The 23166-nt window shown below is 44.6% G+C and overlaps 1 protein-coding gene across 10 annotated transcripts in view, besides 2 other annotated features; it reads right to left on the reverse strand.

The window, feature by feature from the left end:
* Positions 1-23166, reverse strand: part of FOXP1 (forkhead box P1) — a 629271-nt gene that overhangs the window by 459580 nt on the left and 146525 nt on the right. The window lies entirely within an intron of this gene.
* Positions 63-567: an enhancer, noted in NCBI's record as "H3K4me1 hESC enhancer chr3:71463501-71464005 (GRCh37/hg19 assembly coordinates)". NCBI's record gives its function as "activates a minimal SCP1, AML or CMV promoter by ChIP-STARR-seq in primed H9 embryonic stem cells {active_cell/tissue: H9 hESC(primed)}" and the evidence as "EXISTENCE:reporter gene assay evidence [ECO:0000049][PMID:30033119]".
* Positions 7713-7762: an enhancer, noted in NCBI's record as "active region_20061". NCBI's record gives its function as "activates an Ori minimal core promoter by ATAC-STARR-seq in GM12878 lymphoblastoid cells {active_cell/tissue: GM12878}" and the evidence as "EXISTENCE:reporter gene assay evidence [ECO:0000049][PMID:35858748]".

Genomic DNA, 23166 nt, shown 5'->3' on the forward strand with positions numbered 1-23166 from the left:
TTCCCAGTGCAACAAGGCCACCGTCCTGTGCCTCCACACCCAGCTCGGGGCCCTGCACATTGGAAAGCACTTGGTCAGCATCCACCTGGGCCTCAGCCTCTGGCTTTAGAAGGCCAGGAAAATCCCAGTCACAGATGCACTGCCCAGACCTGCGGCACCATCCACACCCACACAGCAGGGGATGCAGCCCCAGGCTTTTGCCGCCCACCAATATACTTGTCTGCCAATTCGAGGACTTACTGGGTAAGATTTAGGTCTCACTTCCAATTATTAAAAGAAGGGAACAAATAAAGGGAATTGCCTCTGCTCCAAGGGATATTCTAACATGGCTCTTGGAGTCTTCTAGACGTGCCCCAGCCCGCAGAGGGGGAGTAAGGGGAGAGGGCACGAGGAGGACAAGCGGAGCCCTGGCCTCAAAGGCACCTCTTAGGAGCCTTGCTGGGAAACACCGGGTGTGCCTAAGACAATGCCATGGGTGATGACTAAAAAGACAATCACAGAGCATGCAAAATAAAAATGATAACTTAGATGAGGCCTGTGAATTTTTAAATAGCACTCGCTGATGGATCAGCAGAATTGCATAGCTTCAGGGTTTAGTATTCAAATCCTGCATCTGGCTTCACATTAATAATCCATTACCATGTTCCCATTCAAAATACTGCATTTTCCCAGCACTTTGTTTCTGTTGTTCACTTTAAAAAATTAAGACACACTCAAAGTATCTATAATCTCACCCTAAGAAAAATCTAGGTACTTGAAAACATTAAGCTGTCATTCATATCTTAAGAGTCACCTATATCTGAACTACCTCCTCCACACGGGCATTCTGAAGAAAGAAAGGGAATCTGTGTTCAAGAAAGTAAGTATGCAATACCCCAACTCTAGGAAATTCATTCGACACGTGTCTGTATCAGACGCTCTGAGATGTTCTCAATTTAAAACCATCCTCCATAGATTACCTATTTAAAATCCCATGAAAAAACACTGAGAAATGAGGATCCCAGCAATTTTTTTAATCCAGCTAATATCTTTCAGTATAATTTTTTAATCTATAAATTGTGATTATAATTTTCACTCCTGTTGATAACAAAATATGTTTTAAGAAACCATGAGGCTTTATACAATGTAGACATAAAAACATGTTTTTTGAACCTGGGTCTTTGATGTGAGAGCCAATATTTATACAAACAAAATCTAGACTATCTGAGCAAAAAAGGAATGTAGAAATCATGGATTCCAACTCCCTGGTTTCACAGAGAAGGACACTGAGGCTGAGAGACTTAAGTGGCTTTAACGGCACAGGACATAAATGGTCCCATAACATCAAGTGAACAAAGAAAATGAGGCAGAAACAGACAGACACATCATTAGGAAGTGTAAGTGTAAGCAGAACATAACTCAATCATTAGTTGCTCTTTTTTTTTTTTTTTCTATTAAGGGCTTTAGTATCTGATGTTTGGGTCTTTGACTGTAAAATAGTCATGACCACAAACTGTCCTTAACACCACAAAACACATCATCACTCCTCAAAAAGAACCTCAGCCCTGTAACATAAAGGCAACTTTAGAAAACTGATAAAATAAACCACTTAAAGAGTAACCACTTGGTTTGTAAGTAAACTATTTGGTTTGGTTTTCAAAGAGGACTTCAAAGGGGCTCAAGATAATAGAAATCTGGGACTTCGGCATCTTTCGTCACAGGAATGATAGACCAACTACTATCAATCACCATTTGCTGAAGAAATATTTACAAATTACCTACTTTGTGCCAGGTATTGTACTCAGAGACCAAAACACAACAGAAAGAACCTGTAAAGTTACATTCTTGTCTTTTGGAGCTGGGGAGAAGACAGACATTAATCAAAATAGAAACAAAGATGTGTATAAAACCGAAAGGGATGAATGCCACAAAAAGCAAGTTATATGGGTCCAGGAGAAAATATAAGGGAGGCATTAGGATGGTCAGGGGCTGGGCACAGTGACTTACACCTGTAATACCAACACTTTGGGAGGACGAGGCAGGAGGGTTGCTTGAGGCCAGGAGTTCGAGACCAACCTGGGAAATACAGTAAGACCCCATCTCTACAGACAATTTTAAAATAAAAATTTGCCAGGTATGGTGGTGTACACCACCTGTAATCCCAGCTATTTGGGGGGCTGAGGCAGAAGAATCACTTTAGCCCAGGAGTTTGATGCTGCAGGGAGCTATGATTACACTACTGCACTCCAGCCTGGGCCACAGAACAAAACTCTGTCTCAAAACACACACACACACACACACACACACACACACACACACACACACACGCAAAAAAAAATGACGTATGGTCAGATAGGTCAGGGAAGGCTTCCCTGAGGAGGTGACAACTGAGCTGAGAGCTGAAGGATGAGCAGCAGGTAAATGGGTGAAGAGTGAAGAGGAGAGGGAGGCATATTACAGGCAGAAGGAACTGCATATGCAAAGACCCCGTGGTACCTGGAAGCAGAGTTAAGATGTGGTTGCAGCAGGAAAAAAAGGGGGCGGGGGTGGTGGCCGCATAGAAGGAGAAGAGGCAGAACTCACACTATAAAGGCCATCCTGAAATTACAGAACTTTCCCTTTATCATAAGGGTAATGGGAGGCCAGTGAAGGGACCTCGGCCTGGTAAACAGGTGAGTGGGACATGATCACATTTGCATTTTGAAAAAAAATCACTCAAGCTGATGAGCAAAGGGGAGACTGGGGCGGAACCAGTCAGTCTCTGATAAAAACAAATGTCCAATCCTATTCGCTGAATTCCTGGTATATGCAAAAAACTAGAGGAGGTCCTTACAAAATGCTCAAAGCAATTCTGCAAATACACTTCAGACCACAGGTGGAGCTGCGGCTGGAGAGAGGAGTGTGCTGAAGTCAAATGGTACAGACTCGCGACATCCTCCAGGCTGAGCCCAGTCGTCCACACGATGCAAATAAACATTTTGAGTCCCCACCTCACCCACCATGAAATTTACAGATGGTTTATTCCGGCATCTGTTTCGCATTGGCTATATTCCATGGTTATTGATTTTAGACTTCCAATTATCTCTGTATTTGAGCTTGTGGACTAAGACGTGTAAGACCCGGCACCAAAACCAAAACCATAAACCATTCCAAGTTGTCCTCCTAAAAATGAGCACTGGGCTTCTGGACTATCTTCCCCAGCAGATGCTAAGGATGGCAGAGATGAAATAATAGACCATCCACACAAGATTTTAATATCAGAACTTATCTTTCTAAAAACCACATGGAGCTTCTTGTGATTTTTTTTTCACATCTGAGACAATCTCAAAGTATTACATTTCCAGCTTTTAGGAGACAAAAATTGACTATATTTTATGTGGAGCTAAATTCCTTTCAACCAAAAGGTTGGGAAACAGTTAATGCATCATTTTTATTTTTCTATGCAGATCTACAAATGAGGACAGGCATCTTAGCTGGCCCTGGACTAGTACAAGTTTGGACAGAGCTGAGGCTGTTGGGTTTAATTTGGCCAAATAAAGGAACTCTCAACCCAACGAGCATTTGGTCCGCATAGCCGATTCACTTCATATTACAGATCGAGGACACCAGCAGTACTGTTTAGAAAAACTGGCAATGCTGTTTAGACAAACACCCCCGAGAAGACAGACTGTGGATAGGAAATGTGGTCTGTTGCACTGTTATCCTAGTTTTTTTTTTTTCCTTCTTCCTTCCCTCATGAGTGCTTTTCATGTAATTTTTACTCACGAAGTTGCCAGTGTTAATTTCTACAGGCCAAATTTGGCTCACTTATTCCTTGCCAATTCCACAGTGAAATTCTGTGTGCTTGTGGGTGTGTGTGTGTGTGTGTGTGTGTGTGTGTGTTTCCACTGAATTGCACCTAAAGCCAAAGGGATTTCTATGACCATACACTTGAGAAGAATGTAGACAGAATCACACTTCGGTGTCTCTAATGACAAAATCTGTCTCTATTAGCAAAAACAATCAAACCCTCCAAGCTGGCACAAGGCTCAACTCAACAAGATGCATGGATCCCCACAGAACCTTTACAAGGCTGTGACAGGGCGACCACAGAAAGGCCATTTGCATATTCTCCTGCACAGGAAAAATGGCAAAGCAGCATTTTTAAAAAATTTTCCCTCATGGGCTCCATAATTTAAATCTACCATTCATTTTAGGGAGCTAGGTTCAAATGGCAAGGGTAGAAAACAAAAATTTGTTTCCTATAATAATTCAATGCTGGTTCTTTTTTCTATAATTATTCTGAAGTGTTAAAAGCGGTGTATTTTCCCCTTCACTCAAAAGAGCTAATAGGGGAAGAAATTAGTAACTGTCAGAACCAACATATTTTATCATGGCCACCTCAGATCTAAACACTACTTAACTGTCAATTATCAAAATTCAAAGGTAGGATATAAATCTAAACCAAAAGATTAATTTGAGGCAACAATATTTTGTCCAGTTAGCCATTTGAGACCAATACCACTGTCACTATCGCAAGAATTAAGAAATCACAATATCACTGTCACTATCACAAAAATTACGAAAGCATCTGCCAGGCATGGTGGCTTATACTTATAATACCAGATACTCAGGAGGGTGAGGCCAGGAGTTCCAGACCAACCTCTGCAATATATGAAAGACCGGTCTCAAAAAAAAAAAAAAAAAGCCGGGTGCAGTGGCTCACACCTATTAATCCCAGCTCTTTAGGAGGCCAAGGTGGGTGAATCACCTGAGGTCAGGAGTTCAAGACCAGCCTGACCAACATGGTGAAACCCCATCTCTACTAAAAATACAAGAAATTTGCCAGGTATGGTGGTAGGCACCTGTAATCCCAGCTAGCAGGAGGCTGAGGCAGAAGAATCACTTTAAACTGGGAGGAAGAGGTTGCAGTGAGCTGTGATTGCACTACTGCACTCCAGCCTGGGTGACAGAGGGAGACTCCATCTCAAAAAAAAAAAAAAAAAAAAAAAAAAAAAGGGAGGGGAGGGGAGGGAAGGAAAAAGAAAACACAGCATCTATTCAATCAGTTATATATTTTTGAAAGGTTATATATCTTAAGAATTTAAGAATTAGAAGTTAGTGACACATAAGGGGAATGAAAGAAAAACAATATTCCCAATAACAGCCTCTAATCTTTGTAGAAGAACTACAAAGAAAAAAAAAAAGTAGATGTTTACAGAAGCTGTAGGCCATGGGTAAAACTGTGCTGGTCTGACTCAAGGCCATACCTAACACCTGCTCTCAACAGGTAAGAAAGAAACTGGATCTCCATGAACATTCTTAGACTCAACCATCAGTGCACCAAGGGCAATGACATTTAGAGACTCGTCTCTCCATTCACCACATCATTTGCAAACTGATTTGGAGGTTTCTAGTCTAACTCAGCATTTCCCAAAGTGTGCTGCAAGTACCCCGGGTGGTAAGTGGGATGGTTTTAGGTGGCAAATGGATGAGCATATACACATACATGTACATACACATACATATATGCACACACACACATTTTAGGAGCTAGGTATTTTTTTTTATTATTATTATTATTTTGAGACAGAGTCTTGCTCTTGTCGCCCAGGCTAGAGTGCAGAGGCGTGATCTCGGCTCGCTGCAACCTCCGCCTCCCAGGTTCAAGTGATTCTCGTGCCTCAGCCTCCTGAGTAGCTGGGATTACAGGCGCCCGCCACCACACCCCCAGCTAATTTTTGTAATTTTAGTAGAGACGGGGTTTCACCATGTTGGCCAGGCTGGTCTCGAACTCCTGAGATCTGCCCACCTTGGCCTCCCAAAGTGTTGGGAGCCACTGCGCCCGACCAGGTATTTATTTTTATAGTGTTCTTTCTTTTCTGGCCCACCATCATATTAGTTTTCCATTTACAGCCAAATTCTGAAGTTTCCTCTTATGAAAAATGTTAAAATAACTAATGATGAAAACTTAAAAAGCAATTTACAGGAAAAATATTAGGTATATTATACTACAAATGTATAAAGAGGAGGCAAAAATGAGGGTGTGGAGTTTGACAAGCAATGGTCTAGCCACACAAAGAGTGACATGGAAGGTGATGAGACTAATATTAGGGCAAGTAGCAGGAAGGTGGCATGATTTCTAATTCCATCAGGATGCTACAGGGGCCACTTCACCTCTCTGAGCATCAGTGTCCTCAGCTGTGTAGAAGATGAAGTCTGTGCATCCCAAATGTTCCTATCATGGGACTCCTTAAAATGGTGAAAAAAATTCTATGCATACACATAAACACATACAGATACACGCACCTATAAACATATACACAAACATAGTCACACATTCTACATATATGTATGTAAAACAACCAGACCCTGCCCAAGTGGATCAGCAAAGCAAGCAAAAGGATTATGAATAAAGTCGCTTTTCCTGCCTGACCTTAAGCATCTGAGTTTCTATCCTTTTTTTTCTTTTTTTTTTTGAGACAGGGTCTCACTCTGTCACCCAGGCCGCAATGCAATGAAGCAATCAAGGCTCACTGTAGCCTTGAACTCCTGGGCTCAAGCAATTCTCTCACCTAAGCCTCCTTAGTACCTAGGACTACATGTACCTGCCACCATGCCCGGCTAATTTTTTGGTAGAGACAGAGTCTTGCTATGTTGCCCAGGCTACCATGTGAGTTCTACCTCCTGTCTTAACCCATGTCTGGTGAGCCCTATGCCCAGTGAATGAAATCACGGACTACAAGTTTTTTTACATTCCTCTCAAGCTCTATAATGTCAGAACGCCACAAAGCCTCACCCTAGGATAGCGTTGAGATGAGACTAGAAATGCCCATGTCCCCAAGGATGCTACTGGACTGCAAGGGACAGACACAGCAAAGCAAAATCTGTCACCATCATTCCCAGAGTTAGGTGTTTCCTGAAGCAGAGACCTGAGCGACAAATTCTTTGGGAAAAACCAAGTAAGAATGCGCAAAGCAAGAAAGAAACTACAGGGGAAAGTGAATAAATATCATTTTCCTTGATTCTGACATCAGGATAAAAAAAATTAAACACATTAAAGGTGAATTTAGCTAGGCGATGTCATCCTCTACCCTCAGGTAAATGTATGCCCTGTTCGTAATTTCAGAAAAAAAGAATAAAGTTGCACATGGTTTCAATATTTTTTCTGTGCTAGAACAATCTAGTTATCTTTTTATTCAATAAGAACACCAAAATCGCTTGTGTTTCCTAAATAATCTTGAATTTATATAATTTGACATTTTTTTCAAAGAAGCATAAATTGTGTGAGGGCCATCTCCCCAGCGTAGGACAATAAATGGCAGGGCATCCTATTTTAGGATAACCACAATATGCAAACATCAGAACCCAGCCGACTCAGGACAGAGACACCTGCGTAGTGAATGGTTCACACTAGAAACAGAGGGGCCGCTGGTCTCAGGACCTCCTGACCAAAGAAAGGCTGGCTTGACTCTTCTTTCATCCAAGTGGGATGATGTCACCAAGCCACTGCCCAAACCTTCTCTCAGAATGGCTGACTTACTCTTAAAACCATCACCACCTACCATAATTCTCTTAAACAAAAACAGACCAGTGTTGGCCCTCCTATGATTAGCCTCCCAGCTGCCTCTGAACTGCTGATGGAGCACCTCCATGTGAAAAGCTCAGAAGGCAAGTCATAATTTGATCCCCTCTTGACGTGGCCTTGGTTTCCTATTTTATCATTTTAGGAGATGCTTCCTTTTGAAATTTTCAAACAACCCAGCCCAACTTTTTAAGACAGTCTGCAGTCACCCCGCAATTGGGATGCTGAACATCTTTTACTTTCAAGCACTGCGACATCTTAATGGTGTGATGTGGAACAGGAAACATTAACTCACCCGCTAGTTTCAGTCACACTTCACAGCTTTCTAACACAAGTCAAGGACAACACGTAAGGAAGTTAGAAGTCAAGGGGAGTGATAATGCAGGCACTTCAGAAGAGAGAAGCATGCAACAGCATCAGCATAAACACGAACTTCTCAACCAACAACCCTCCCCCTTTTCACTCCTATTAGAAAAACTACATACAATCCAAAATGTTCTAGTGCTCCTTAAACCTAAATGCACGTGAATCACCTGGCCATCTTGGCAAAAGACTGATTCAGTCGGTCTGGGGTGGGGCCTGAGACCCTGCATTTCTAATAAGAACTCAGGTGATGCCGCGGCTGCTCGTTTGAGGACCACACTTTGAGCAGTGAGGGCATGGGGTCCCTCCCCCACGTCCTCACCTCTCTTCTCACCCTTCCAGTGAGGTCAGGAGAGCCCACAACTGAAAACAGGTTTCCACCTGAACAAGGCTGAAAACTTGTTTCAAATGAATCTGAAGTGTGGGGAAATAATCGAAAAGAAAGCCAAAAAGAATAATCGCCCAAGCTGCAACAAGTCCTTCCAATTAAACAGAGAAGGAACTCACTGGTAGTGCTGTACAGCTCCCACACTTCAGAGAAGGATCTAGGGGACAAACTTAACCAATGGAAGAAAAAAAGGGGTGAATGCCCTCTCTCTTGGCTGTGTAAGCCTTGAAATTCTTTCATCTCAGTAAGAGTTACCTACCATTTCTGGGTACACACACACACAAGCGCGCACACACACACACACTCACACACCCCTTCTTTCATATGGAGAAAACACAAACCAAAACTCCAATACAAACCCCCATGTGTAAGCTAAGACAAGTCAAGATTTCCTTGGAGAAAACTAAAACTCATTCAGGAGCCAGGAAAGAGCTGCCTGAAGCCCAACACCCAGCCCAATATCTGAGGCCTCCAACTCTCCAGCTGCTACAGGCAACCCAGTAAGATGCCAATGTCTCTGGTTCAACAGGTTTAGAACACCTCCAAGTCCCCAGAGACAATTTCACATCTTCAAAGCTCTCACTGAGGGTGAATTTATGAATCCACACAGCACCTACAAGTTCTTCCTTCCCTAGGTGCTATTAAGCCCATTTCACAGATGAGGAAGCAGAGAGAGACATAAGAATTGTGGCAACTTGCCAAGCGCATCGCAGAGCAAGACCAAGCGTGCATCCAAAGTGAGAAGGCTCCAGGCTCCCACTCCCAAGACCAACCCAGCCACTCAGAACATCCTAGTCACAGGCCCTGAAGCGGTGTTCCTTTGGCAAAGACAGAGGTTCACCTTGGACTTCTGCCAAGGAAAAACACATTAGTCCTAAAGGCGTGTCCTCTGTCTCCCCTCGCAAACTGCTCAACTTTATAGGATATCCGGGATTAGACCAGCTTCTCCTCACACAAAGAGCATCCCCCTGCTGGCTGGCATGCTCAGACATGGTTCTACCAGGGGTACAAAGCAGACCTGACAAAGAATCATAGGCCATAGAACCAGAATTAGAGAGGTAGCTGGCCATGGGGCCAACACAGGGGCCTCCCAGGCTGGCCTGTGTGGATTTCTCAGTCACGTTATCTGCATCCCAGGCACACTGTATCTCCCACCTCACTGAGCCCTTCAGCAACCCTGGCAGGGAAGTGCTATTATGCTCCCCCGCCGCCCCGCCCATTCTATGTGTGATCTAGCTGAGCCTGAGACATCTTCAGTTGTATTTAATCAGCTTGTCTTAGGTCACATGATTTCATGAATGGCCCTAAATATACCCGCAAGTCCATAAAGATGCACCAGCAGAAATATATTTCTATTTTTATTTCTTACTTATTTTATGTACATATTTATTTTTTAGAGACAAGGTCTCCTTATGCTGCCCAGGTTTATCTGGAATTCTTGGCTTCAAGTGGTCTTCCCGCCTCAGCCTCCCAAGTCGCTGGATTATAGGCCCAAGCTGTCAGGCCTGGCTTAGAAACATTTCTAATGCTAACATTTCTGCCAGAATGCCAACCTTTTTCAATAAGTAACAAAGAACTGCGCTGAAGGATGGTCCTTTAACCATAGTCTCACCAGCAGCAAGAAGGAAGGGACAATGATTTTGGCGACCAGGCAAACAGAGGCATCACCTCCTCTGCAGTCAAACAGGGAAGATCATAAATCCCAATTTGGGCTTTCAAGTCATAATTAGGATAATGTCCATCTTTTGCAAGCTCTGGCGATGTTGCAAGCACTGGGTAGGGCGCCTTCCCTATCTCATTTGTAATCCCCACCATAACCTTGCAATGTTACCAATGAGGAAACAAGTGCTTTGCCCAGTGCCCACAGCCAGGTAAAGAGGATTCCATGTCTGGTTCTCCTGACTCTAAATTTGTGATATTTCCACCACACCACACCATGGAAATTAGGTGGTTCTGTAAGAACACTGGGGACCACCATGCCTAAGAATCATAAAATGCAGCTAACTTCCAGAGGTGTATTAATCAAACCCAAAACTGTCAGAAGGTTTTTAAAAACCCACAAAAATCCGCACTCCAATTTTGCCACTAATTTCCAAGCCATCATAGGAAAACCACCAAAACAAGGTTGGTGTCACTGCCGAGCTGAAGAAGTGGTCCTCAGAATTCATCCAGCAACTGCTGCCTATGCTGGGCTGGCTTCTGTCAGCAAAAGTGGAGGACACAGCCCTGGCCTTCAAGAATCCAATGTTCCCATTGGAGAAGCCAAACACTTTCATGAAACAACGTCCAGCCTGGGGTGGGAGGAAGTCACAAGCCAACTGTAAGAGGTAAGGAGTGATCAAGAACAGGGAAAGCTTTTTCTAGGAAGAGGGAAATGTGTATGGCAGTTGCCATACTCTCAGTGTTTACTCAGAAAAAGAAAAAAAGCACTATCTTGAATTTGTATTCATATACTGGAAATCTACTAACTTGCAAGTGTCAGACAATAATCTACAAGGTGTCTTCATTTTCCTGTTTTTTTTTGTTTCGTTTTGTTTTGTTTTGTTTTGTATGAGACAGGGTCTCACTGTGCTGCCCAGGCTGGAGTGCAGTGGCACAATCTCGGCTCACTGTAGCATTCACCTCCCAGGTTCAAGCAATTCTCCTGTCTCAGCCTCCTGCGTAGCTGGGATTACAGGCATGTGCCACCACACCCGGCTAATTATTTGTTGTTGTTGTATTTTTAGTAGAGACAGGATTTTACTATGTTGGCCCAGCTGGTCTCGAACTCCTGACCTCAAGTGATCCACCCGCCTTGGCCTCCCAAAGTGCTGGAATTACAGGTGTGAGCCACCACACCCAGCCATTTTACTGTTCTTAATACAGACTCTGGTTTCCAAATCCATTCCAAGGGGCCACTGCAGTGTGGAGGGTGGGGAGGGGAGACCAACTTCTCAGAGCTGGAACTCCCTCAACTTCCTGGTGTATAACCGTCTCCTCAGCTCCTGGCAGAGTCCCTGGCAAAATAAATGCTTAATAAGTATCTGCTGAATGAAAAAAACAAGGAGAAGCTTTGAACTCATGCCCTTACTCAACCATAATAACTCAACTTTTGTTTATTTTAAAGGTGGGGGGGCTCTGAGTAAGATTTCATTTGGTCAAGGCAATCAAACCACTTAAAAAAAAAAAAGAACTGAAAAAGACATGAGATTTATGAGTATCTATGAATACCTCAACATTTGCCCTCATTTCTTTCTCTACCATGACATTCATCCAACATGAAGGGCCATTAAATTGAGCTTATTCAAACTCTTGCAAATTTCCAGGATCCCAACCATGTACACTCACCCACGTATAGCTGAACCACATCAATCAATAGTGTGGCCTGTTTAAGACCACAGTCTGCAGGCCAGCTGGGTTTGACTAACATGCTGGCTCATCCAGGTCTCTGCCCAGGACTGAAAATACCCTAGCATCAGCTCAATGCATGAGCCTCTCATCATGCCAGCTCTGATCCTATGAGATGTTGAAAGAGGATATTAACTTGATGGTGATACCTCTTGACCTAAGAGCTAGAAAACAGGGCACTCTGGAAATGCAGGTAGGTCTGAGGATTGAAAAGATCCTATGAACATTGAAAGAATCAGGCAAAGGAGTCAGGGGAGGGAATTAACACTATAAGCTCAACTCCTGGCTAATGGTAAGCTATTTTCCTAAATATGCAGCCCCAGTAAATCACCAAACAATCTGTAAACTCTTGTTAGATGGGAGTCTCTCCTTGCGAAGATGTCAGGAAGGACCATGGAAACGTATGGTATATAGTCACTGCCCTCAAAGAATTCAGGGGAGACTATTCAAAAGATTTAGTATTAGGCAAAGAGGAGAAGTCTTCTACAAGACGACCCAAGTGGAATGAATGCACAGGATAAGTAGAGATGAACCCAGCTGAGCCAACTAAATGTGGTTTCTGATAAAGGGAGGGTTACTGTGGCTATATGAAGGAAAAATGGAAACTTAACAGGGAAAGTGCTAGAGTTTTTCCATCCCTTCCACACACGCTCATCCCACCTCAAGGTCTCCTCTGCCTAAAAGGCTCTTTCTCAATTCTATGCATGGTGTTCTTCCTCTCATCCTCCAACACTTCACTTAAAAATTACCTTCTTGGGAAGTCCTTCTAAAATAGTTCCCCTTCTTGCACTGTCTCTTAAAACATCAGATGCAGCCAGGCGCGGTGGCTCACGCCTGTAATCCCAGCACTTTGGAAGGCCAAGACAGGCAGATCACAAGGTCAAGAGTTCGAGACCAGCCTGACCAACATGGTGAAACCCCATCTCTACTAAAAATACAAAAATTAGCCGGGCATGGTGGTACATGCCTGTAATCCCAACTACTCAGGAGGCTAAGGCAGGAGAATCGTTTGAACCTGGGAGGCAGAGGCTGCAGTGAGCCAAGATCGCACCACTGCACTCTGGCCTGGGTGACAGAGCGAGACTCCATCTCAAAAAAAAAAAAAAAAATCAGATGCATTTTTTTTTTCATATAATCACCCCAATTTATGCTTTTATGTCTCTCTTGGTTTATTTATTATTTGACTCTTCCCTTAACAGATCATAAAGGCAGGAATCGCAGCTGTTTGGGTCACCACCATATATCTAATATGTAGCCCAGGGTCTGGCACAAATATAGTACTCAATCCATGGCTGCAGAATACATGAATGAATAAATGGATACAAAACGGAGAAGGGAGACAAAGCATTTCACACAGAGCAAAAGGAGCAGGGACACACGCGCAGGAGAGTGTCAGTGATATTAGAGGTATCCTACGGAGAGGGTCTGGCTGCAGCGAAGGGCATGTAAAGCGTAAAGCTAGCGAGAACTGGAAACCATGCCGCAGATGGAGTTTGCAAGGAGATCACAGAAGGCCCCGGATGCCGGGCTAGGGAGCCTGGGCTCTCTTGTGAAAAAAAGGAGCTACTGAAGGTTCTGAACAAACACACGTGATATGATTTGGGTTCTTCCAGGAGGGACATATAAAGGCAGAGTTGTCAGCCTCAGGCTATCACAATTGTATGGACAAAACATACCAAGGACCAGAATGAGAGGAGATGCTCAGGAAGGAGAATGATACAAGCGATGGACGGAAGTCACAGGATTCAGGAACTAAGGGAACATGAGGGGTGAGGGGTCAAAAACAATAAAGAGGATGCCTGGCTTTCAGGCATGAATGACTGGACAGATGAGGATGAAATCAGCAAATGCAGGCAACCCAGGAAGATGAGCAGGCACCAAAGAAAAGATGACAAATCCCATCTCAGAAATGCCTATGTGGAGATCTGAATGAAGGTCAGGGGGGATTCTTTGTGAAAATATCTTCCAGGAACCTGAAAATGAATTCCAAGAAAAAGATCAGCTCAAAACAGGGCTATCTCAGAGTCCTCTATACTGAGGTAAAGAGTGGAACTGGGAGAGAGGAGGGTAAATTAAGTCAGAAACAAGTCCCATCTTCAGGCACTGCTATCATAGCTTTTAATCAAGTTGATAAATACTGTGTGATAAGGGAAGAGCCCTTTTCCTCCCGTAGGAGGGTGAGACTGTCCCATCTACATTCAAAGCCCTCATACCCTCAGAACAAGGCATTCAGGAAGAAAAGACTGAACATCATTCTGCCCAACAGGACCATGAAGATCAGGAAGATATTATGAAGCAATTCTGGAAACTGTGTCTCCTGCCCGCCTAACCTCCAAGTGGGACACTCTGTCAAGTCCTCTGCAATCCCTTTTTGGTTTTAAAAACGCCCTTGTTCCAAATGTTTCCTGCTGTAACCAAATTAATGGGAACAGTACAGATATGCATGCCAGTGCAAAATATGGCAGCAGTAGAAGTTGACAGAGCTAATTTCCAATTGTTTTGGCAAAACAGCTTGGTCCACCCCTTCGGGTTTGGAAAGCAATCAGCTTATTAGCAGAGAATGGGCTACTGTATCTTAACAAGTCTTGTTCAGAGGCCTGCCTTCTGGTTTTTAATGTCATGAGAAGTCCCTATTGAGAGTCCATTGTTCTAAAGAGGCCCCCCTATGAAATGTCTTTCATGCCCAAGGTTTGAAAAGAGCCCTTCAAGAAGCAGAGTCATAAAACAATAATAGTTAGGCAGGTCATGAGATTCAAAGGAAATTAAACATTTGTGATCCCTACAATGAGATGTGGCCTGGACACACATACACACAAAAGAAACTTGAAGGGGAACATTGGAAAGAAGGGGTTAAGCACACACTTCACCTTGGGCTGCAACTGCTCAGTGAGCTCTCCCCACAACCTGGCTCGGCCAGGAGGCACTGCTGAAGCCGGGGCTTTCCTGGCCCTGAGGTCCCGTTCAGCTCGTCCATTCTACTGTGCAATTACAGAATCAATAAAACATCCCTTTGAAACTCCCTGGACTAGTGCCGACATGCAGACAGTAGTCGGCTGACATTTTTTGCTATTTCCGTTATTACAGCCGGCAAGCACGAGGGGAAGGCATCAGAACCAAGGCACAGGCTGGGGACGAGAAGGTGGATGGGAGTTCCGGCTTCATGCAGGCTGCCCTCATGCTCTGCATGGCCCATGGAGTTATCACCCACAACCTCGCCCATGGGTGGGGGCAACCAGACCAAGGTGACATCATTCCCAAGGGGACACTGAAGGAAAACTATGGGAGGGTCTGGGTTCTGTCTGTCTTCACCCTTTTTGGTGAAGTGTGGGGAGGAAGAACAGCAGGAAAAGAAATTATTCTTTAAGGAAAAAAACTTCTTGGACAGGCTCACCTGAGAAACACTTTTTTTTTCTTGGTTTGCTCTGAGCATTTCAGGAATCAAAGGCCTGTGCCAAGAAGCAGGCAGCGAGGCGGAACTCAGCACTTGTGTGTGCTGCTCGTGAGAACTTGGGGGTGGGGGGGCGGGAGGGGGGGTACTGAAACGTCCCTGTCCATCTGTTGATGTCTGGGTGGCAGAAAATATTGAAATAGAAATAGAAAGTTAGAAAAAGCTTAGGAGCAAAACCTGAAAGAGTATTGTATTTGAAAAGGAAATGTTAGACTGATTGTATAAAAATGGAAAAACAGAATTAACATGTTCCATAATGATTCGTCTGTGTTAACTAAATATTGAGCTAAAATTTGGTGAAACCCTCAAAATAAGACTTTCCGAGGAACTCGTCTTCAAGAATCACCGTCATTGAAAGACAGCTAAATCACCCCACGGTGCCTGATCTCACTCACCTGGTTGGTGGCTTTTTTCATTCACTTTATTAAATACAATCAAAAATGATGTGTGGTTTATTCCTCACTCTAAAACCTCAAGACAAGCCCATTACCAGCATTCCTCAAACATATTTGCATATCCAGTGAAAAACAAAATTCAAAATCTTTCCAAGCTACTTCTGCTCTACTGGGAAGCTAGAAAAACTGGCAACTTTCGGAAATGAAGATTCCTTTTTCCTCCATCCAAGCTCACACAGGAAGTGATACGAGAGGTTTTCTCAAATTGCCTTGCTACAATGACCACAACCTCGACAGAGAAAGACCACCCTGGGAATGAGACAATTCAGGTTTTTTACAGGCTCCCTCCTGACCATACCCCAAAATAGCCAGCCCATACCACGGAAAGCCTGACTCGAGGACTTTGCAGCGTGAGCGATTTCGGCATTGCTAACTCAATCCGACGGTCCTTACTTATAAAATAAAGACCACAGCCATGCACACACAGTAAAATGAGCAGGCGCAAATCTGGTGCAGTATTGCAAGCCGAATGAATAATAGTACAAAATATCAGAAAAAGAAAGGTTATGAAATTTTATAACAGATGACAAATTGGTAGCTTTTCCCCACTTTTCTGGAATGGATTCAGTAACAGATTTGAATCTTGGGTTTTGATGCTTGTCTGTGATATGCAGGGATCCCAAGTTCAAGAGGAAAGAAAGAAAAAAAAAAAACAGGAGTCATCCGCATGTTACTTCACTTACAGTAGGGTCCATTCTTTACCATTTATTCTAGAAATTATTTGGTTCCTTATTTAACCTGCTTTGATTTAAAACAACATTGAATTTTAAATTTTCAATCTCAGGGTCTTCTATACTTCAAGCTCCCAGACTTATCCCTAAAAGAGGAAACTACCTGCCCAGATTCTAGGAAAATAAAGAGAGAAAGCATCTCATTCTGCCACGTTGGAAAAGAGGCTTAAACTCTGCCTTATGGTGTCTGTCACCCAAACTCATGGGCTGTTGGGGGAGGGGAGGCGGCGGGGGGCAGGCCCATGTTTCTATGGCAAGAATGGCCACAGGGGAAGGCCTTACAGGTCACTGACTTTAGAGCAACGCAGTAGCCACAACCACCGGGAAATATGGCACCTGTACCAATGGGCCCCTCCAATTTATATGAAACACTTTCCTAGACATTCTACCCCACCACTTTGATTTTACTGCAACAAAGCATTTAGAAGGTGCATGGTGGACAGAACCAGGCAGGGAGGTGAGTGGTGGAAGATGAGCCGGTGGACATGTCCCTTGCGTGCATGCAGCAAGCTCAGGCAATCTAGGGAGGCAGGTCGATCTGCAAATGAGCCATGCAAAGACAGCACAGACAAAAGGAATCCACTCTTGAGGAGTATCACAAATCTCCAATGGGAGCAGAGTTCAGTGGCCGTTCTCTGGTTGGTGGGCAGGAAATCAGGGAAGGCTTCATGGATGAGGAAGCCTTATTCTCCATAGACAGAGTGCGAGAATAAGTGGCAATGTGTGAGAAGATGCTTGCCCAGGAAGTACCTGTGTGGTTTTCTCAGCGACTTAACTTTTCACTCCAGTGAATACTCCTAATAAGAGCTGGCCTGGATGACTCAGTGCTCATACCATGCTAGGCACTTAGCTAAGCTACGAGCTTCAGGCACTCAATTCTTACCATGACTTTTGCCCAATTTACAGATAGAAAACCTGAGGGTCCAAGAGATCTGGTAATTTTCCAGGGTCGCGAACCAAGTAAGTGGCGAAGCAGAGATTCAAACCCTGGTCCATCTGGTCCCACACAGCCCCATTGCCTGGTTTGAATACTTACTACAACTAAACATATTTCCAAAGGTATTTGCTAAAGTTAATAGAAACTTCAGAACTCCTACCTGCAAACTCATTTCACAGGCAACAAAACACACCAAAGACGAATGGAGACTAACTTTTCCAAGTCACCCGATGACCTTGGGTCAAATTCAGAATCCAGGCCTCCTGGCTTTTTCCTGACTTTATTTTTCTTTCCAGGTATTTATTCTGACTTCATTGTGTAGTGTCTATGGAAAACCAAAGCTATAGAGTGATTTTTTTAAAAAGACTAAATTTAAACACCATCATATGTGCAATTCCTGTTGCCGTGTTGCCCCTGGGTGTCATTCTGTGTTGCATCTGAACCATCAGAGAAGCAGAGAGAACCTATGACCAAGCTGCAGGATCCCTTAAGGCTGCTAGTCTTTGAAAACCTATTTATGGCAAGAATTTCTTAAGGGCCAAACAATGTGCCAGGAGCACTCTTTAGAGAAAGCAGACGCTGACATCAGTGTCCTCAAGAACTTCCATTCCCACAGAGCACTAAGCAACTAGGATGGATTGAGATATGCAGAGATCAACCACTGACGACTGTGGTGTGCATAGACTTCTCACGGCTGACCTTGTCGTGGCCGGGAACGGCAGCCCAGCACAGACGCAGAATATTCCCTTTTGCTACTTTCCTGCACCCATCGAGTTGATTTTTCCATCTCCTCCCCGGCCCTGCACAGAGCATTTTCCCCTTCCCCTTCCCTGCCTCACCACCCCTGAACCAGCTTCTGACCTTGCACCCCTCCCTACATTCAAAGCACAATTGACGCACCCCTCCCGGGCCCTGGCCCAATGACCCTCATTCTTCTCTCCCTTTGGACGCTTCCTTTTCCTGTCCCTCCCAGTCTAATAATCTGCTCCTATTCCACCAGGTCCCCTAGGCTACGCCCCACCTAACATAGGGCAGGGCCTGGGCTGGCTCCAGTGTCTCAGTTGTGGCTTCAAAGGGTTTGGGCCTAACACCCTGGGCGCCTGCAGCACCAGAATCCTGGGATCAGATCACCAGCGCTACTCATGATCGCTTCACCCCATCCCCAAGCACCCTATCCCCCCCATCCAAAGAAGCAGAACTCAGCATTTACAGCATTTACATTCATTTTCAGGCTTAAGTGTGGAGCTCCTAAGTCAAGCCTTCAAAGCAGTTCGACACTTAACACTGACAGGAAATGTGAACATGTTAAAAAAAAAAAAAAAAAAAATTAAAAAAAAAAGCCCCATGATTTGGCTGAGGAACTATTCTTTGCAATGTTTCCAAGGATATACCAGAGTCTGAGCTTTAAGACAGACAAAATAATTTGAATGATTCTAATGGTTAGAACACCCTGATCATTTTGTACCTGCTTGGTCTTCTTGGATCTTTTGGTGTTAAAAAAAAAATAGTGACTTGAGTAACTCATTTTGTCCTTTTACCCTCTTCTCAGCGATGGGCAAATTAGTGATGATGGTAGAGTTATTACATGTAACTCTATACATGTTCTTATATGTAACTCATATATGTTAGCATATGTAAGACTTCAGCCATCAAATGGTAAAAATCATGTCATGAACTATTGACATACAAGGACCCTGAAGAAAACACAGCAAGTCAGCCTGAACTACCCCCAACCACTTTAGGCATTGTTTTTAAAACTATAAAATCAGACTGTAGGTGCCAGACTTTTGCTGTGTCCCTTTGTCTCTAAATGTATAAACACTCTACGTGTCTATCAGAACAGAGCAAGGGTTTCATGTGTGTTCCTGAAATGCACGTGCAATTGATCAGGGAAACAACTTTACGGGTTCAACCATGAGAAATAAAAACATGCAAAGGCTTCCAATACATTCAGTATCTGACATCACACATCAGAGAGAGGGCAGGCAGGGGAGACTTTGAATAATCTCAGATTGTGCAAGGGGGAAGGGTCTGTAAACTAAAATAAAAATCCACATTAAAAACGTGCATGCTATACAAACAGAATATAAAACAGGTTCACGGGGGCTCTATTTTCCTCCCTGGTGAGATAAGTTCTCCCCAGCTTGCAATGTATTCTGGAACCCTGCTAGCCTGTTTTTCTGTTACTCGGGAGAGCAGCTCCAAGCCCATCCAATCCCCCACGTGAGTTTTCTCTTCCCTGACTGGTTACCTGGATGAATGTGAATGCCCTGGTCGGCAGGCAAGCAAAGGCGTGTCTACACTTACCTGCATTGTCTGCCATCCCCTGATGGCACAGGGAAGCTTAGATCGCATCAGCCACAGATCCATGCCAAATGGAAACCCAAGCCCACGTTACAGCTTCCTGGCTGGCTTAAATTGCAATCGTTTATCTTCATATGCCTCAAGTTTTAGTTTCGAAAAATTATTTAAAGACCAAGCACCATAATGAATGTGTCTACTACACAAATGCTTTTAAAAACAGAAAAAGAGTTACAAAATATTTCTTAGGTAAAGCCCCAACAGGAGATGGGAAGAGATCAAGATTCAAAGTCCTGACTTTTAAGGAGTTTACAGACCAACTTGAAGAAACAGGACAAATACATCTCCAAAGATAAGGAGCTCTGAAGAAGTATGTGTTACATGCCAAGTGAAAGATACAGAAAATAATGACGTTAGGCACTGGATCCTAGAGCCCCCCCGAAGACTTGTTCCCCCGCAGTCAGGATGACAGCTTCAGAAGACACCTCCTTCCCACTCCAGTCCTGGGAGTCCACCTGCAGGCTGCACCTCTTGCTGTCCCTCCCAAGTCCCTCTTGCTGCAAGCCCAAGTCCCAACTTCCCTCAATACAGGAGTCCAGAAATGGGCTTCCAGGGTCCAGGAAGTACCTGAGGCCTTACGTTTTAAAAGTTTTATGCACATACATATTATGTACACTTGTGCAAATTAAAGAAATGTACACACAAAAACACTATATAGCCTTCCTGGGCACTCATGTATATGAAATAGTAAAACCAGAAGGTGGACACGGTGACCCTCATGAGGGGATGGGGTGTGTGTGTGTGTGTGTGTGTGTGTGTGTGTGTAAGGAAGGGGATGGAGGGAGGTGAGGAGTTAGACTTAAATGGTGTAGAGTAGAGTTCTTCTTACCACAGATGTTGTATTTATTAAAGGTAATAGAGTAGAGGTGAATATGGCCAAATGTCAACAGTTATTAATTCTGGGTAGTAAGAAGATGAACATTTGTACTATATACACACATGCCTGCACACACACAAATAGAGAGACTCAGAGATTTTTCAGCTTCACCAAGGAGTCCTGACCGCCAAACAGTTTAAAGCGCTTGGCTAACAGGCCCCCGTCACCTCCGTCTCTCTCGCCTTTGATCTTCTATAGCCAGGTATTAGATGGCCATTTCACAGCCCACTCTATTCAGCTTTACGGCATGTCGTCAGTTCTTAAACTGATAATTAACACATGAGTTTTCAGCTATGTCATTCTTTTTCTCATAAGAGCTTAAAGTAAGAGACTTCAAGACAAAAGGGAAGGTGGACGTTGAGGATGAGGAGGAGAGGAAGGAGAAGGAGGGAAAGGGGACGGTAGAAAGGGATGGAAGGAAGAAGGGAAGGAAGGGAAGCAGGAAAGAAGGAAGGAAGAAGGGAGGAAGGAAGAGAGGGAGGGAGGGAGGGAGGGAAGAAGGGAGGGAGGGAGGGACGGAGGGAGGGAGGGAGGGACGGAGGGAGGGAGGGAGGGACGGAGGGAGGGAGGGAGGGACGGAGGGACGGAGGGAGGGAGGGAGGGAAGGGAAGGAGGGAGGGAGGAAGGGACGGAGGGAGGGAGGAAGGGACGGAGGGAGGGAAGGAAGGGAGGGAGGGAGGGAAGGAAGGGACGGAGGGAGGGAGGGAGGGACGGAGGGAGGGAGGAAGGGACTGGAGGGAGGGAGGAAGGGACGGAGGGAGGGAGGAAGGGACGGAGGGAGGGAAGGAAGGGACGGAGGGAGGGAAGAAGGGACGGAGGGAGGGAGGAAGGGACGGAGGGAGGGAAGAAGGGACGGAGGGAGGGAAGAAGGGACGGAGGGAGGGAAGAAGGGACGGAGGGAGGGAAGAAGGGAGGGAGGGAAGAAGGGACGGAGGGAGGGAGGAAGGGACGGAGGGAGGGAGGAAGGGACGGAGGGAGGGAGGAAGGGACGGAGGGAGGGAGGGAGGGACGGAGGGAGGGAGGGAGGGACGGAGGGAGGGAGGAAGGGACGGAGGGAGGGAGGAAGGGACGGAGGGAGGGAGGAAGGGACGGAGGGAGGGAGGAAGGGACGGAGGGAGGGAGGAAGGGACGGAGGGAGGGAGGAAGGGACGGAGGGAGGGAGGAAGGGACGGAGGGAGGGAGGGAGGAAAAAAGGAGGGAAGGAGGGAAGGAGGGAGGGAGGATAGAAGGAAGAAAGGAAGAAAGGGGGGAGAATCTGTCTACATATATTAATACCCTGTTATGTCACAACTGAAAACCATTTCTGATTTTTCAGGGAATGTGGGTTTATATACCATGTAGGAATTTCTAATTATTCCTATTACATATTTCCCAAACTGTTCCTGGTATGGGCTCTTCAGGTCATCAAAAGGCATTGTCTCCCCGCAACAGCCCCTGCCACCTCCAAAGCAGTTTCATTTGGAAAACTTTACACATGTTCACAATCCCTCTGAGATCAACAAAGCACATTACTACGCTAAAACCTGAAAATCCTAAGATGCAGCCTGGTATAAGCCAGTGTTTTCCAACTTATTTTCACCATAGCATAGTTACTGCATGGAACAACTGTGCCGCCGAACTTGTGGTCTGAGGAGTGTGGGGAATGCTGGCCCTGGTGGTGATGAGACCTTCTGGATTTAACACTGCAGTCCACATTTCAAATACCCCATCTATCGTCCCTATAAACATGACTCACTCTCATAAAAATCAGAAATCCTAGTTTTAGAGTCATAAAATATGGTCCCTATTACAATTCCATGTATTTCCATAAAACCCTTAAGGAACTGACTCACATAGGCCCTTATAATACTAACAAGAAAAGAACAAAAAATTTCAAGGATTCACTAAGCCAACAGCACTGAACCGACTGTAGTCATAAACCAAGTCTGGAGCACATCCTCCGAGAATGATGATGAGAATACACCAAAATACCTGGAAACCAACTCCGACTTGGAGCCAGCCAGGCAAGTGGTGATCTGTAGGCAGGAATACTGCAAAATGTCTGCTATAATAATGTAATTTTGGCGTAACTTTGACATCTATCTAAAACACAGGAAACAAAATGTAAGCCCCATGACCGATCAAAGCAACGCTGATCAACACAATTCCATTTTTTCACCTATCAAATTAGGGAATATTTTCACATATAATATCCCACATTATTTGGAGTTTAAGGAAATGGGCCATTACATACAAAGCTGATTGAGAACAAACTTGGTATTACCATTCTGAAAAACAGAAAGCTGGCATTAACGTTTCTCAGTCTCTTTGATCCAACAATGTCACTTCTAAGAATGTATAAAAAGGAAAACAGAGCTGGGCATGATGGCTCATTCCTGTAATCCAAGCACTCTGGAAGGCAGGCAGATTGCTCGAGCCTAGGAGTTCGAGACCAACCTGGGCAACATGATGAAAACCCGTCTCTATGAAAAACACAGAAATTGGCCAGGCTTGGTGGTGCACAACTGTTGTCCTAGTTACTTGAGAAATGAAGGTAGGAGGATCGCTTGAACCTGGGAAGTTGAGGCTGCAGTCAACCACGATCATACCACTGCACTCCAGCCTGAGTGACAGAATGAGACCCTGTCTCAAAAGCAAAACAAAACAAAACAAAACAAACAGAAAACAAATCATGAA

Source organism: Homo sapiens, chromosome 3 (assembly GCF_000001405.40).
Source record: "Homo sapiens chromosome 3, GRCh38.p14 Primary Assembly".
Taxonomy (NCBI): Eukaryota; Metazoa; Chordata; class Mammalia; order Primates; family Hominidae; genus Homo; species Homo sapiens.